The sequence below is a fragment of the Homo sapiens genome, chromosome 5, assembly GCF_000001405.40.
Source record: "Homo sapiens chromosome 5, GRCh38.p14 Primary Assembly".
Lineage (NCBI taxonomy): Eukaryota > Metazoa > Chordata > Mammalia > Primates > Hominidae > Homo > Homo sapiens.
In genome coordinates this window covers 160,895,491-160,912,560 of record NC_000005.10, presented here as the reverse complement: position 1 = coordinate 160,912,560, position 17,070 = coordinate 160,895,491, and the positions used below count along the sequence as shown (strand labels likewise).

At 39.7% G+C, this 17,070-nt stretch overlaps 1 protein-coding gene across 4 annotated transcripts in view; it reads left to right on the top strand.

Moving 5' to 3' along the window:
• The window catches only part of ATP10B (ATPase phospholipid transporting 10B (putative)), a 366,241-nt gene that overhangs the window by 16,800 nt on the left and 332,371 nt on the right, over positions 1-17,070 (top strand). The window contains exon 2 of one of the 4 annotated variants that reach the window (XM_047416994.1): positions 3,884-4,009. The exons of the other annotated variants lie outside the window; for them this stretch is intronic. The gene's annotated coding sequence lies outside the window, so the exon portion shown is untranslated. The remainder of the gene's footprint in view (positions 1-3,883; positions 4,010-17,070) is intronic. 4 annotated transcript variants of the gene reach the window in all.

Sequence of the window (17,070 nt, the reverse complement as noted above, 5' to 3'; positions counted from 1 at the left end):
GTGGCGTGATCTCAGCTCACTGCAACCTCCACCTCCCAGGTTCAAGTGATTGTCCTGTGTCAGCCTCCCAAGTAGCTGGGACTACAGGTGTGCACCACCATGCCCTGCTAAGTTTTCTCTTTTTTTTTTTTTTTTTTTTTTTTTTTGGTAGAAACAGGGTTTCACGATATTGGCCAGGCTGGTCTCAAACTCCTGGACTCAAGTGATCCACCCTCTTCAGTCTCCCAAAGTGCTGGGATTATAGGCGTGAGCCACTGCACCAGGCTGAATTATTTAATATATTTCTAATTACAAATGATCATTTTCACCTCAATGTCTCATACTTCCTTGGGTAACTTATTCTTCATTATTTTATTCCAATTTTCTAATTGGTCTTTATTTAGATCTACTCATGAGAACCCAAGTGTAATAGTTATACTGAATACAAAAGTTCTGCCTGTCCCCTTTCCACCCACAGCCACTTCTCACACAGACCCTTTCAACACCTATAGATGTAATCTCTCTCTCTCTACTGGAGTGCAAGCTCCTTAGTAGTGGTTTTACTTTGTCTTCTTAAGTCTTTACACATAGCAAAGTGTTTATTTAAATATTTGTCAACTTAGAATATAATAATCATGACCTTAACCAAAATATTTTCACACTTACTATTTGCCAGACACCGGTCTAAGATCTCTAGTGCATCATTATGTTTAACAAGCAGGTTGCTGTTGCCTCACGGATGAGGTAGGAGCAATACTATTGTATTTTTTGTATCTAAAATAACCAGGCTGGGTGAGATGGTCCCTGCAGGTGGATTTCATCTGTAAGTGTATAATCCTCTGATGACCCCCTTCCCCTCTCAGACCTCCTGAAAAAGAAACTTTATTATCATAAGTCCTTTTGTAGGAAATACATCTCTCATTTCTTAGGACCTAGATATTTAATTTCACAGGCTATCAATGCAGCAGACTCACACATGCTTGGGGTAAAGTTTCAATATGCCTGATCATGTTCACTCTTCTCCCCAACCAAAACCAAAGTCGAGGATTAGAAATGACCTTGAGAGGCATCTAGTCTAGCCTCCTACTTCCAACCAGCTCTGTACTCAAGCACCCTGGCCACATTTGGTGAACGGAAGCCTCTGTCTTCCTTTGTAATTCTATTTGAGTTAATTCTTTTCTCTCACCAAATCCTTTTGGGTCCATTGAAGCTCATGTTTATCCTTTTTAGTTCTCAGTCATTGTTTTAAAACCTAGGGTATGTGGAGGCAGAGATGAGGAAGAATGATGATTTTAGAATTCCAAGAATGTCCAACGTATAGCAGAGTTAGTTTTGAGTTGTATCTCCTTTGTCCTCTGAGCCATGAAAAGGAAGGTAATGGAGATTATGCTAGTTATGACCAATACACTTGGGATACCAAAGGCACCAGAAGAAACAATAGTTTGAAAGTCAGCCTCTACCACTGGCCAGCTTCAGGCCATTGGAAACATTTCTCCCCAATTTTTTAAATGGGCATTGTCCTTGTTTGTTTGTGTTGCTATGAAGGAATACCTGAGGGTGGGTCATTTATAAACAGGAGGTGAGAAAGAGGAAGAAAGACTCTTTTCAACAACTAGTTCTCTCATGGGAACTAAGAGTAAGAACTTACGCCCAGGAAAAAGGCACCAACCTTCATGAGAGATCTTCTCACCCCAGGCCCCACCTCTAACATTGAGGATCAAATTTTATGATGAAACTTGGTGGGGCCATACAAACCATATCCAAATAGCAGGTATTATTCATGAAATTTTCTTGATTCTGAGTCGTGTATGTACTTTTTTAATCATTGATGTTTCTTAATCAGATCCAGCCTTAAAATTTGTAAGCACATTAAATATAGTGTTTCTTCCCCTTTTCATAGCCTCAAAAATTACTGAACTGATTATCTTACTAGTAAAATAATTCAGTCTTGGTGATGAAATACAATAATTTTTGCTTAACTTACAGGATAGTGAAGCCTGAATGAGACTAAACTTTGCAGAGTATTTTGAAAATTGCAGACTCATACAAGTACTCATTGTTATTTTTATTATTCAGTTGGCTGTTTGACATTTACTGAGCACATACTACGGGCCAGACTTTGTTCTCGATATAGGGGCTGGAGCGTTAAACGAAATTGACAGAGTCTGCTCTCATGGAGCTCTCCTTCTAGTGGAAAGAGATTGAGAATATACATACAAATAGGAGATCTCAGAAAGTGATGAATACTATGAATAATATGAAACAAGTGATTTAGTAGTACCGGGGAGGACTGCTTTAGCTAAGAGAATCAAGGGAAAACCTGTCTGAGCTGAAACCTGAATGTAAAAGGAACCAGTCTCATCTTGAAAAGGATAGGGGAGCAACTCAGGAAATAATGAGAGCAAACACAAAGGCCCTGATACAGGCTTCTTAAGAGTCAGGACAGAGTGTGGATGCAGCTTAGTGGACTAGGAGAAGGGAGGGGCGGGATAAGGAGAGAAATGAGCAGAGACCTGATCATATGGGGCTTGATGAGGAGTCTCTATATTTTAATTCACCCAACCCCTACTTTTAACAAACTCAGGAACTAAAGCTCAAAGGTGAAGTGCCTTCTTCAAGATCATGGAAACACTCCATGGTTTTGGAAATTAGATCTCTTCACTTCCTGACAGTCGTTGTTCTGCTTTACTGAGCTGCCTACAACCGGCAGCTTCCATGTCGGTCAGCAGAGGCCTTGGAGATGGAAACTAACATTGCCCTGCACTCTCTGCAGTTGTGATTTTTCCCGAGTTCTTTCTCCTAATGTATTATTTCCCTCCTAATTAGAGATAAATACGTTATCGTCACTTAGCTGCTTTATAAACAAGAGAAAAAACAGAAGTGATTCTACGTTATTCAAGTAAACATTAGTTACTGAAATATTGAAATTGTAAAAATAGAAACAAGATCCAGTGGGTGGCTCTGCACATCAGCTCCTCAGCTGTCTCTATTGCTGTTCCATTGGGAAATGCACAGTTACCTTCTATATCTAACAGGATCCTGCTCCTGCATTCAGGAAACTTACCATCTTAAGAAATGGTTCTGCAAAAGCCTCATAGCCCTCCAAAGTGTTCCTCTGCTCATGTGTGTGGTCAGGGACCATACCATGGCATACATGATGGAGAAACCAGTGTGCTATGTGATAAGACCAAAGCTCTAGTATCACATTTCTCTAGCCACAGTATCTGTGTAAAGGAGTCACCAGCAGCTGCATGTCCTGTTTGGGAACCAAGAATTAAAAAAAACACACACACACACAGCATTGGCTGTGTCTTACCTTCCATCACGTTTTGAATTCTTTGCCAGATAAATTGGCTTCTTACAGTGCTGAAAAGAGCATCCTTCCTCATAGTCTGGGCTGAAGTGCCATCTGGGCCTCAGTGCCTGCCCTTCTCTATCAGAGCCTTCATCACACTGCATTGCAATTGCCTTTCTTTGTCTGACCCCCCATAAAATCATAGGCCACTTAAGGTGAGCAGGTGCCATATCTGTTACATCCACCATTCATTCCCCAGAGCCTCGCACCGTACCTGGCACATAGTAGATATTTGATTAATATTTAAGATAGTGAACTAAATTTAGATCACTACCTAAAGCAGAGGGCGGTGGGTAGGAAATAAGGAAGTTAGGGTCAGAACTTGGAGGACATAAAGGCTAGCAGAAGCTTAGATTTGATGAGAGGACAGAAGGAGTGTTGATGGTGAGAATAAGGGAATAATAAGCATCAAACTGTATAGCCTGCTAACCTCTCAGCAGAGGAATGAAGATGGATGGAATAAAATTAGCAAAATCATTATCATGATGATAACCACAATCTCCTCATGCTGGGAGCTAGGACCTAACCAGGGATGTTCTCTGCTTTCAGCCTCCATGCCTTTCAGATCACCATTGTGTTCCTGCTGAGGGCAGAGTAAGTGATCCTCAAACCTGGCTGACCCCAGGGTCCTCTTGGAGATGAGATATCTGTAGAAGAGAAGGAGGAAGCAAAAAAGTAAGAAATGTCAGTTGATCCTAATCCTTCGATAGCAGATGAGCAGCTCACTCAGGAAACATAAACATTTGGATTCTGGGTATGAGCTTTGAAATCAGGTCTTTCATAGTTTGAATCCATAGTCTTTCACTTACTAGTTCAATGACTATGGGCCAGCGGACATTCAATAAGTGGCAGAGGAGGTTTTTCTAATATCAATTATTATCTTGTGTGCTTATTTCATTATGGCACTAGGGAGATCTCCATAGGCCTGAATCCAAAGCAGGAAAACAAAGGGAAAATTGAGAGAGAACCAGGCGAGGACTTGGGGGCTCAAAAAGGGTCATTTCTTTTTTGTTTTGTAGATGTCATTTCCTCTTTTAGTTCTGTGTTTGTAAAAAGATAGCACATAGTGACATAGTGTAATGAGCTAGAAATTATTTCAAATTCTAGCCCTGCTAATGCATTGGTCAGGATACTTAACTCTAACACACAACAGACAAACTGAACTCCCAGTGGCTTTATTGGGTAGTGGTTTACTCCTCCCTGTGTCATAGTCCTGTTTAAGTTGGGAGACCATCATCCAACCTGTAGCCAAGTCATCCTCCAAGCTCTTCAAGATCACTGAGGCGCAGAGTATGAGAGATGGAGGAGGCGCACCAGCTTTTAGCTGCTCAGCCTGGGAGTGGGACATGTCACCATCACTCTTATGTCACAAGGACCAACCTAAATGCAAGGGAGGCTGAAAAGTACCAAGTAGCACATGGGTATTTGGCAAGTACTATCTCTGCCATAGACACTTTTTGCTGCTGACATTGGAGAGGTCACTCAACCTCTTTAAGTCTCAGTTTCCTCAACTTTGCAATGGACTTAAGTTTCTGCTGTTTGGAGTTTGTGAGAATTACATGGGGCCCAGTGCAGTGGTGGCTCATGCCTGTAATCCCAATGTTTTGGGAGGCCAGAGCAAGAGGATTGCTTGAGCCCAGAAGTTTGAGATCAGCCTGGGCAACATAGTGAGATCCTGTGTCTACAAAAAAATTTAAAGATTAGCTGGGCGCAGTCACACACACCTGTAGTCCCACTCAAGAGCCTGAGGTGGGAGGATTGCTTAAGCCCAGAAACAGAAGCTGCATTTGATCATACCACTGCACTCCAGCCTGGGCAACAGAACCTATCTCAAAAAAAAATTGCATAGGATAATGCAGGTAAAGAGTTTAGCGTTTAGTACATTGCCTGGCAGACAGAAACTATTCAATAACAATGTTGTGTAAATTAAAGAAAAAAAATCAACTAGGGTTCCTTGGCTACAGGCAACAGAAACAGGCTCTATCTAGAAAATATGAAATTTATTAGAAAGATTTCAGGTAGCTTTTATTGAACCTGCATGAAGGCCGAAGAACCAGATTATAAAAGGAAACTAAGGCTCCATGGCAGGAATTACAGAAAACGATTTGATTAATGCCAACCCCTTGGCAAACTGAAGGCTGGGTATTTTGACAGTCTTCCTTCCCCAGGGCTCCACACAGGAAAGAGGTTGTTCTTTTAAAAGAAATCTAGGAGGGAGTGGAGCCTGAGTGGCCACAAATAACAAATACCCATTCACTGTATTAGTTAGGAATAAGTCACATACAGGTCAAACAAGACCCAATTACAGTGGCTTAAAAGGGCAGAGGGAAGCAGCCAGTTGATACATTGACTCAACGATGCCTTCAGGGACCCATGCTTTCTGTCTTTCCTCTCTGCCACCCTTAGCACATTGGCTTCTTATTCCTGTACCTTATCGTCACAAGATGACAACTCCATGTCGAGCAGGAGGAAGAAGGAGAGGCGGTACTGGGTACCGACAGATCTCTGTTATGTTTCATTGGGCAAAATTGTACCCCGTGGCTACTCCTGGCAGCAAGAGATCCTGGGAAATTCTTTTAGGTTTCTAAATACTCTGGTATATTTAAGTAAAGGAGAAGAAGTAGAGATGGGTGTATAGATCTGCTAATCTACAGTGTCTGCCAAATGTCTAGAGTTTAACATTAATGTTAATAAACCAATGTCTTGTGACAGGAAAGAGGTGAGAGGAAACAAAACCAATTGACCTAAAGACACCTTTCACTGACTCCTCCTTCCAAAGTGTTTAGAAGGATTATAGAAAAATGTGAAAATTGCTCCTTAGGGTCTGTGGAACCCCTTTTTGGCCCAGGAGAACTTGAGTAGCATAGGGTATGGAGAGTGAACTGGTCGATTGTTTTTTTTTTCCCAGAGGCTGCTTCTGAATAGATCCCTGTACTTGAAGCTCCCGCTATAGTGAAATGTCTCAAAGGTCCAAACACAATCTACTTCCATGGTCACACATTAACAAGAAAGATAGAAGAATATTTTACAACGTTAACATGCCTTGCATAGTACTTGATCCATTGTAAGTTCTTGGAAAATTGAAGCTATTTTCTATTTTCCCTCAGGACCTATCTTTCCCAGCTTTTGATGTTCAAAATCTAAAATCTAAAAGTCAGGTAACTTCTTGGGGCATATTTCTGTGTATAATAGCAGCAAAATGGAGGGAGTGCAGAGAAAATGGAAAAAGGGCATTGGCAGGTCTCTGGAAATTTGTAAGTCTTTGGGTAAATAAAATTGTCCCATTTCTTCCTTAGCTCTCTCCACATTCTTCCTCTTACTCCAGACACATTTTTTTTTTCAGGCCAGTGAAAGCAGGTAGGTTTGAAAGAGGCTAAGCATAAATACTTATGCTTTTTAATATTTTACAAAAGAACTCAGTTTATCATGCATTTAATAGCCAGCATTTATTGACTATCTGCAATGTGTTACATGCTACAGTTGGGTTATTTTTTTTTAACACATTATAATAGCAATCCTAGCTAACATTTAGGAGGCACTCATTGAGTCCCAGGTCCTTTGTTGAGTGCTTTATATAAATGATCTTTTTTACTTATTACAACAAGCCCACCATGCAAAGGTCTTATTATTTAACGTGTTGCAGATGAGGAAATTGAGGACCCACATAAGTTATAAAATATGTCACATACAGTTTCAGTGGTAGAGCTATGAGTCACAACTAGCTGTCTCAAGCACTAGGCTATGCTTGCTGTTTAATTTTCTCAGCAGCTCTATGGACACAGATTGTCTTATCTTATACCTGAGGAACCCAGGACTTGAGGAGATGAATAACTTGCCCCAGGCCAAAAGCAGAACTATTAAATGGCAGAGGCTGGATTAAACATAGGCCCATCTGGATCTTAAATGCCAAGCTGGGCTATGCCACAAGGCTGAATATAAATTAAATCCTCCTTACCTACAATTCTACTAGGAAAAGTTGCATACACAATATAATGTAGTAGTCAAGAACACAAACTCTGGTACCAAACTAGCTGTCTGACATTAGGCTGGTTTCTTAAACTCCCTGAGCCTCAGCTTACTTATCTGTAAAATGGGACTAACAATACAGTAGTATGTAAATAGCAGAGTTGTTGTAAGGGCTTGGTATAATACCCAGTCCGGAGTTACTGTTCAATAACTGCTAGCTATAATCTTTCTTCCAGTTTGTTTAAACTTTACACATTTTCTCACTCATTGAATAGCCTTAAAGAATCTCCTCCTCTCTTTGGGCCTCAGTCTCCCCATTTGCAAAATAGCTAGAGTTTGTTTCAATATTCTCCAAATCCCCTTGTCCCCTTCCAGCTGTCATTCTATGCTTCTCACACTTCACAGTCAGGCACCATGTGAAGCCACGCTGTCTTATGCTGGCATCTATGGGAAGCATAAGGTCTCCATGAAAATAAACACATGGTTAATGTTGGCAACAGAAGTGCCACCAGCCCCCACGTTCCTATGATTATAATAGCTGTCATTTGTACAGCTTCGTGCCAACTGCTCTTCAGAACATTATAGATACATTATTGTACATAATTCAAGAATCTGCTCATCCCTTTCCTTCACTCTTGCTGATGTTGGCAAAATATATATTTTGCCTAAAATATGTATTGCAAGTTGGGCAGACAGTCTTGACAAGGTATCACATTAGCTGAAATATACATTGTAGGTAATATGAAACATACACACGCACACCCAGACATACAGGCAAATATATAGCTATAGAGAGATCTTTAGATTAGTAATGTGATACCATGTACCTTGTCAGGACTGTGCACCTATCTTACATCCATGTGCAGATTGTCAAGACCCAAAATCTATTCCTCACAGTTGCCCTATAATGCAAAGACTATCGATATCTCCATCTCAATACATAGATAAGGATATGAGGCTCAAAGAGATTAAGTAGGTTACCTAGCTAGGAAGTGGAAACCCTGGCAGTCTGACTCTGAGACTTTATACTATCAACCACTAGACTAACAATGTTCTGCAGTTTTCTGAATGTAAGCCCCCTTTAAAAAGCAGGAAACCATATCCAACTTCGTGATAGTAAAAAAAAAACAAAAAACACTAGCCTCTTCCTTGCCTGCTGGGAGCTTTTCCAGGGGAGCAGGGTAGTACAGGTGGTAACCTCATCAGGAAGCCCCCTCAGGTGGGCTTGTTGAAGCTTTTACTGCTGACGCCATCAGTACTCAAGCCTATGGCGAAGAAACTGTCAGGTGAGGATGACCCATAGATATCCTGACTTCCCATATGTTCTGCCTCTTTATTCACCAGGCAGACACCAACCTAGGCTGCTAGCCAGAGTAACAGACACCTAAAGCTGAGTCTATTCCTTGCTGACCTCGGGTGCAAATAGAGCTTCAGTTTACAGCTGCTCTGCACACCTAACCTCCTCTTTATTGAAGGAAAATACAAGAAGGGCAGGCAAGCAACACTGTGCTCCTGTTCTAATCTTCTGTGTGAGATAAGGAAGTAGCTGTGCTGCATTTTTGTCAAGCATGTGACAGAGATACCTTAAATGATGAGAGGGTGGCTCTACCATAATCTAAATGGAATGGAAAAATGATAGTAAAACTGTAGGCATGGCTTCTGTAATATTTAATTTGCAATGGACCATCAAATTGTTAGGTAGTTGGCATTTTGTGCAACAGGATAAAGCAGATTCGTGTTATTGCAAGTTTTCCATTTACAGAGTAAATGCTCTGTGGCTCTGATCCTTTGATGACTCTGTAAAGCTACTCCCAGTGCAGACAAAATGTGTTTGGACCTGTGAGAGCGTGTACACCAAGGCCTGCTGGAAGTGCCTCTTTCTGTGCTCTAGGGATGCTGAGCTGGGGACTGCATGGGGGAGGCTTCAAGCTCTGGTATCTGCAACCTGCTCAGTCTCACCACATCGAGAACTGGGAGAGGCTTCTTTAAAGCCCATCTTGGCAACTTAGAAACTTCTAGTCAGCAGACCAGGTTCCAGTCTTGGGTCTGATCTAAGCAAGCTATACATAGCCCTAAGCACGTTTCTGGGCATCAGCTTCTCTGTCTATAAGCTATCATGGTTTGAGTGGATCATCTCTAAGACTCCTTCCTTTTTAGTCTGTCACATGGCTAGTAATAAATAGCCATTCACTGTTGTTGTTAACAGTTAATATTATCATTAGTTTTTAAGGCAAAGTAGTTGCTGACATTTCTCTTCTAAATCCAGTGCTGGCATCCACAGATCCTCCTAGCAGGTTCTCACGTGCACCCGTTCAAACACAGGTAGGCTCATCCTCTGTGCCCATCCTAATTGTTGATTACAAACTTCCAAGGCTTACACAGAGGACCCCTTTAGTCATCTGACTTTGTGATTTTTGTTTTCTCTATCACTTACTAATCAATGTGTCCCTTCCAATCTCTCAGAACATTTGAAATTATTAATCAGTCACTTGTTAAGCACCTAATATGTGTTGAACCCTCTGATAGGTCCCATAACAGAAAAATAGAAAATACTAAGCACTGCTATCAGTGAGTCTATGGATATTTGGAAGAAAAGATGCCCAAACTTTTCTCTATCATGCTCAGTTCTCAGCCTGACATTATTCCTTTTTCCTCTGTCATGAGCTCCATTCCCTTCTCTCAGAACCGACTTCAAGAATGTTTTCAACTATGCCATTCTTTGTTTCATCAAATGCCTGGTATTTCTCCATTTTCAGGAAAGTTTAATCCGTGTAGGTCTCACCTATACATTTGCCAAAATCTCTCATGTTGCTGAGTGTTTGACAGCAAGGGCATAATTAGGGACCCTGAACTTGAAAGTAGTGAGTTTGTTTCTTTAAGGTCATATAGCAAATTAATTGCAACACCTAGAAAATAGGGTTCCAAGCCTCACTCAGTCCTTCAACCCTCGTGCCCACTGGAATACTTTGTAGAAGTCTTAGCATCTATTTGAGGTATTACCAATGCAATGAGACTAAATTTTCTTTTTACAAGGTCTCATTTTTCTAGAATTTTACGTCACACTTAAAAGAGCAAGTGACTTCTATAAAACTACCATTTGGTTTTGAATTTTTACCATGTAAATAGTAATGTGCTTATTTTTAGTTAGTTTTCTGATTAAACTCTTTTTGTATATGACCTCATACCTTTCCTCCATCAGGAATTAGTAGAAGTAGGTATATTTTGGAAGGTACCCAACAGATGAGAGCTTGGATCGTGGTCTCTGATGCATCAGCTGGGTGACCTTGGGCAAATTAACTTTATTTTACTCAACAGCAGAATGTAGGAAAATAAATAACTACCTCATGTGGTCACTAGGGAGGTTAAGTAAGGTGTCATCTATAAGACATGGTGCTTAGCAGATAACAGGAGTTCAATAACCTATTCTCTGAACAAAGTTCAACAACTTATTGGTGTCCTACTGTATAAAAAGTACTGTTGGGTATGATGGAAAAATAGTTGACCTATTCATTTATGAACCAAATATTCAATGAATACCTACCATGTACTCCCTATTCAACCATCTTAGTTTCAATTCTCAACTCAAATGTTATCTGTAAGGCCTTTCCTGACCACCACATCTAAAATCAGCCCCTCAATTACTCTTCATTGCATCGCTTTGTGTATTCCCTTCATGGTACTTTTCAGAATCTATCAATGTTTGCTTTGACGGCATGTTTATTGGTTGCCCTTTCCCCATAAGCTAGGGAGGCCTCAACATCATCTACCTTTTTCTTACTAAATCCCCAGCACTCAGCCCAGTGTTCAGAACAAAACAGGCATTCTAACTACTTTTAATTTAATGAATGAATCCTTAGCTACTGGAGATACACTGAGAAACAAAGCAGACATAACTCTTTACTTGAACTGATTCAAAATCAAGTGGGGAAGTGTAAGAAACTTTAAAGTTTCTCTTAACACTGTATCAAGAGCAAACAATGACAGATTTTAAAGGTAGGTATAAATGGAAGTTCCAAACCCAGAAGAAGAAGAAAAGAGGTAGTGGAGGTGGAGGAGATGCAGAAATCTTAGGTAGAATGTGGCTTTGGTGTGAAGTTCGCAATATTTGCAAAGCATTCCCCAGACAGAGGTCCTTCTCAGTTTGGCTTGTGGTGACTCTTAGGGAAGAAATCCCCCATTCTGAGCTGAGAACGGAGTTTTGCTTCAGATGTGTTTTGATTTGCACCTTTGATATTTTCCTACAACTTCAGAGCAATCACATTGTGTTGCTCCTGGAAGAGATGAGGCGCCACCTGCTAGTCAGAAAGAACCGAGATTATAAGACTTAAAAAAAAAAAAAAAAAAAAAAAAAACTTCTCTACCCCCCAAAAGGATTTATACTTTTCAGAGAGTGTTCTTGTTCTTTTTTCAATGACATGAGTAATATGTGTTCATCACAAATATTTTTAAACCACAAATAAAAAAAAAATGTAAATCTTATCTACCATCCCATAATGCAGATATATTTTGGTGTATATGCTTCTAACTTGTTGTATACATATGGCCTAATCTTAATGTACATAATTATTGAATGTGTTCTTTATGTGTAACAGTATGCAATAATCATTTTCTATGCCATTTAATGCACTTCTACATTAAATACATTTCATAAACAATACTTCACCTAATGGCAGTAGCACATACATTAACACCTGTGTAAAGGGAAAAGAATGAGGACAATTTGGGAAAATCATGAAAGGAGGTATATTTAGAAGTTAAGAGCTGAGACTCTGGAGGGGACGGAGGTTCAATCCTATCTCTGCATTTACAAGAGGCAGGGCATCAGCAAGCCATGAACTTGTCACTGCATCGTTTTGCTCATCTATAAAATGGGAATCATGACAGAAACCGTTTCCTGTGGTGGTTTTAAGGATTAAATTAAAGCGCTTGGCCCCACAGTGTTTAATAAATATTAATTTCATATTTAAAAGGAGACTAGAACAAGAATAAAAGAGAAAGAAAATGTGCATGAAGAAAAATGGGAAAAGAAAAAGAAAAGATCAAAGGGGTAGGGATGTCTTGTCCATAACCTGGAGAACTACTCAGTAGTTGGGGGAAGGCTGGGAGATGGAAGGCGCAGGATCAGGAGAGGTGACTGGGATGGCTGCACAGGAAGTGGTGGATTTTCTACAGGAGCTACTGATCTGTGTCTGAGCTCCACACTCTTATGCGGGGAAAAATAACACAACAACCACAACGACACAACGTCTGCCCAGAGCATTCTTGTCTGGGCTGGAAGGCTTCCCTTGGAGTGGCTGATGGGGGATTCCTTGCCTCTGCTCCACCAGGGAAGGGAGCCCTCTTGAGGGTGGAGCTGAGGAGGGCTGGACGGCAGCTGTCTCACACTCTGGGAAAAGGACCTCAAGAGTGTCCCATTCCAGAATTCCCAGAATCAGTGAGATACATTATATCCACTGACAGGAGCTTAGATCCTGAGCCTCCCAGCCAGAGAAAATCTGTTGCTGTTCATTGTCATCTAATTTTGTTTAGTTTTTAACAGCTTACTCAAGGTATAATTGCATATAATAAACTGGTTTTGCTTATTTGTATTTTAAAAAATATTTGTGATGAACATGTATTACTCATGTCACTGAAAAAAGTACAAGAACTCTCTCTGAAAAGTATAAATCTTTTTTGGGGGGAGAGATGCATATAATTGCACGTATTATACTATAATTGCAATTATAATTGCATATAATATTAAAAACATACAATTTGTAACTTAGACATACCCTGTGAAACCATTACCACAATGAAGACCAAAAACACATCCGTCACCCCCAAAGTTTCCTCATACCCCTTTTTAGTTCCTCATATCACCACCCTGTCTCCCAAAAGCCTTCTACATGACGACATTTTTCTTCCTTTCCCCACTTTCTTATTTTTAATAAATATTAGAAAATTTGGTATTATGTCCCTATCATTTCATTTTCCTGAGAAGGGGTGCTCACAGTATTTTTCTTCATAACCCACTAAAAACTGTGACCCCTCCCCCCCACTTTCAATATCAAAGTGGCTTTAAAAGGCAGCAGCATCTCCATATGTGTAAATGGAAATGCTTTTATATTGTCTCTTTTTATTATACCTTAAGTTCTGGGATATATGTGCAGAATGTGCAGGTTTGTTAAACAGGTATACATGTGCTATGGTGGTTTGATATACCCATCGACCCGTTACCTATATTAGGTATTTCCCCTAATGCTATCCCTCCCCTACCACCCCCACCCCCTGACAGGCCCCAGTGTGTGATGTTCCCCTCCCTGTGTCCATGTGTCTCATTGTTCAACCCCACTTATGAGTAAGAACATGCAGTGTTTGGTTTTCTGTTCCTGTGTTAGTTTGCTCAGAATGATGGTTTCCAGCTTCATCCATGTCCCTGCAAAGCACATGAGCTCATCCTTTTTTATGGCTGCATGGTATTCCATGGTGTATATGTGCCACATTTTCTTTATCTGGTCTGTCATTGATGGGCATTTGGATTGGTTCCAAGTCTTTGCTACTGTGAATAGTGCTGCAATAAATATACGTGTGCATGTGTCTTTATAGTAGAATGATTTATAATCCTTTGGGTATATACCCAGTAAAGGGATTGCTGAGTCAAATGGTATTTCTGGTTCTAGATCCTTGAGGAATCGTCACACTGTCTTCCACAATGGTCAAACTAATTTACACTCTCACCAACAGTGTAAAAGTGTTCCTATTTCTCCACATACTTTCCAGCATCTGTTGTTTCCTGACTTTTTAATGATCACCATTCTAACTGATGTGAGATGGTATCTCATTGTGGTTTTGATTTGCATTTCTCTAATGACCAGTGATTATGAGCTTTTTTTCATATGTTTGTTGACTGCATAAATGTCATCTTTTGAGAAGTGTCTGTTCATATCCTTTGCCCACATTTTGAGGGGGTTGTTTTTTTCTTGTAAATTTGTTTGTTTCTTGTAGATTCTGGATATTAGTCCTTTGTCAGATGGATAGATTGCAAAAATTTTCTCCCATTCTGTAGGTTTCCTATTCACTCTAATGATAGTTTCTTTTGCTGTGCAGAAGCTCTTTAGTTTAATTAGATCCCATGTGTCAGTTTTGGCTTTTGTTGCCATTGCTTTTGGTTTCGTTGCCAATGCTATTACCTTTTAGTTTTTACGGTTTTAGATCTTATGTTAAGTCTTTAATCCATCTTGAGTTAGTTTTTGTATAAGATGTAAGGAAGAGGTCCAGTTTCAGTTTTCTGCATATGGCTAGTCAGTTTGCCCAACACCATTTATTAAATAGGGCATCGTTTCCTCATTGCTTGTTTTTGTCAGGTTTGTCAAAGATCAGATAGTTGTAGATATGTGTTGTTATTTCTGAGGCCTCTGTTCTGTTCCATTGGTCTATATATCTGTTTTGGTACCAGTTCCATGCTGTTCTGGTTACTGTAGCCTTGTAGTATAGTTTGAAGTCAGGTAGTGTGATGCCTCCAGCTTTGTTCTTTTGGCTTAGGATTGTCTTGGCTATATGAGCTCTTTTTTAGTTCCATATGAAATTTAAAGTAGTTTTTTTCTAATTCTGTGAAAGAAGTCAATGGTAGCTTGATGGGAATAGCATTGAATCTATAAACTACTTTGGGCAGTATGGCCATTTGCATGATATTGATTCTTCCTATCCATGAGCATGACATGTTTTTCCACTTGTTTGTGTCCTCTCTTATTTTCTTGAGCAGTGTTTTGTAGTTCTCCTTGAAGATGTCCTTCACATCCCTTGTAAGTTATACTCTAGGTATTTTATTCTTTGTAGTAATTGTGAATGGGAGTTCACTCATGATTTGGCTCTCTGTTTGTCTGTTATTGGTGTATAGGAATGCTTGTGATTTTTACACATTGATTTCTTATCTTGAGACTTAGCTGAAGTTGCTTATCAGCTTAAGGAATTTGGGGTTGAGATAATGGGGTTTTCTAAATATACAATCATGTCATCTGCAAACAGAGACAATTTGACTCCCTCTCTTCCTATTTGAATATGCTTTATTTCTTTCTCATGCCTGATTGCCCTGGCCAGAACTTCTAATACTATGTTGAATAGGAGTGGTGAGAAAGGGCATTATCATCTTGTACTGTTTTTCAAAGGGAATGCTTCCAGCTTTTTCCCATTCAGTATAATATTGGCTGTGGGTTTGTCATAAATGGCTCTTATTATTTTGAGATACATTCCATCAGTACCTAGTTTATTGAGAGGTTTTAGCATAAAAGGGTATTGAATTTTATCAAAGGCATTTTCTGCATCTATTGAGATAATCATGTGGTGTTTGTCATTGGTTCTGTTTATGTGATGGATTACATTTATTGATTTGTGTATGTTGAACCAGCCTTGCATCCCAGGGATGAAGCCAACTTGATCGTGGTGAATAAGCTTTTCCATGTGCTGCTGGATTCAGTTTCCCAGTATTTTATTGAGGATTTTCACATCGATGTTCATCAGGGATATTGGCCTGAAATTTGTTGTTGTTTTGTTGCTGCCAGGTTTTGGTATCAGGATGATACTGGCCTCATAAAATGAGTTAGGGAGGAGTCCCTCTTTTTCTATTGTTTGGATAGTTACAGAAAAAAAATGGTACCAGCTCCTGTTTGCACCTCTGGTAAAATTCAGCTGTGAATCCATCTGGTCCTGGGCTTTTTTTGATTAATAGGCTAATAATTACTGCCTCAATTTCAGAACTTGTTATTGGCCTATTCAGGGATTCGACTTCTTCCTGGTTTAGTCTTAGGAGGGTGTATATGTCCAGGAATTTATCAATTTCTTCTTGATTTTCCAGTTTATTTGTGTAGAGGTGTTTATAGTATTCTCTGATGGTAGTTTGTATTTCTGTGGGATCAGTGGTGACATCCCCATTATCATTTTTTATTGTGTATATTTGATTTTTCTCTCTTAATAATCTGGCTAGTGGTCTATTTTGTTAATCTTTTCAAAAAACAAGTTCCTGGATTCATTGATTTTTTTTTTTTTGAAGGGTTTTTGTTTGTGTTTCTATCTCCTTCAGTTCTGCTCTGTTCTTAGTTATTTCTTGCCTTCTGCTAGCTTTTGAATTTGTTTGCTCTTGCTTCTCTAGTTCTTTTCATTATGATGTTAGGGTGTCAATTTTAGATCTTTCATGCTTTCTCCTGTGGGCATTTAGTGCTATAAATGTCCCTCTACACACTGCTTTAGCTGTGTCCCAGAGATTCCAGTATGTAGTGTCTTTGTTCTCATTGGTTTCAAAGAACTTCTTTATTTCTGCCTTCATTTCATTATTTAACTGGTAGTCATTCAGGAGAAGGTTGTTCAGTTCCATTTGTTGTGTGGTTTTGAGGGAGTTTCTTAATCTTGAGTTCTAATTTGATTCCACTGTGGTCTAAGAGACTGTTTGTTATGATTTCCGTTCTTTTGCATTTGCTGAGGAGTGTTTTACTTCCAATTATGTGGTCAATTTTACAATAAGTGATATGTGGTGCTGAGAAGAATGTATATTCTGTTGATTTAGAGTGCAGAGGTCTGTAGATGTCTATTAGGTCCACTTGGTGCAGAGCTGAGTTCAAGTCCTAGATTTCCTTGTTAATTTTCTGTCTTATTGATCTGTCTAATATTGACAGTGGGGTGTTAAGTCTCCCACTATTATTGTGTGGGAGTCTAAGTCTCTCTTTAGGTCCCTAAGAACTTGCTGTATGAATCTTGGTGCTCCTGTATTGGGTGCATATATGTTTAGGATAGTTAGCTCT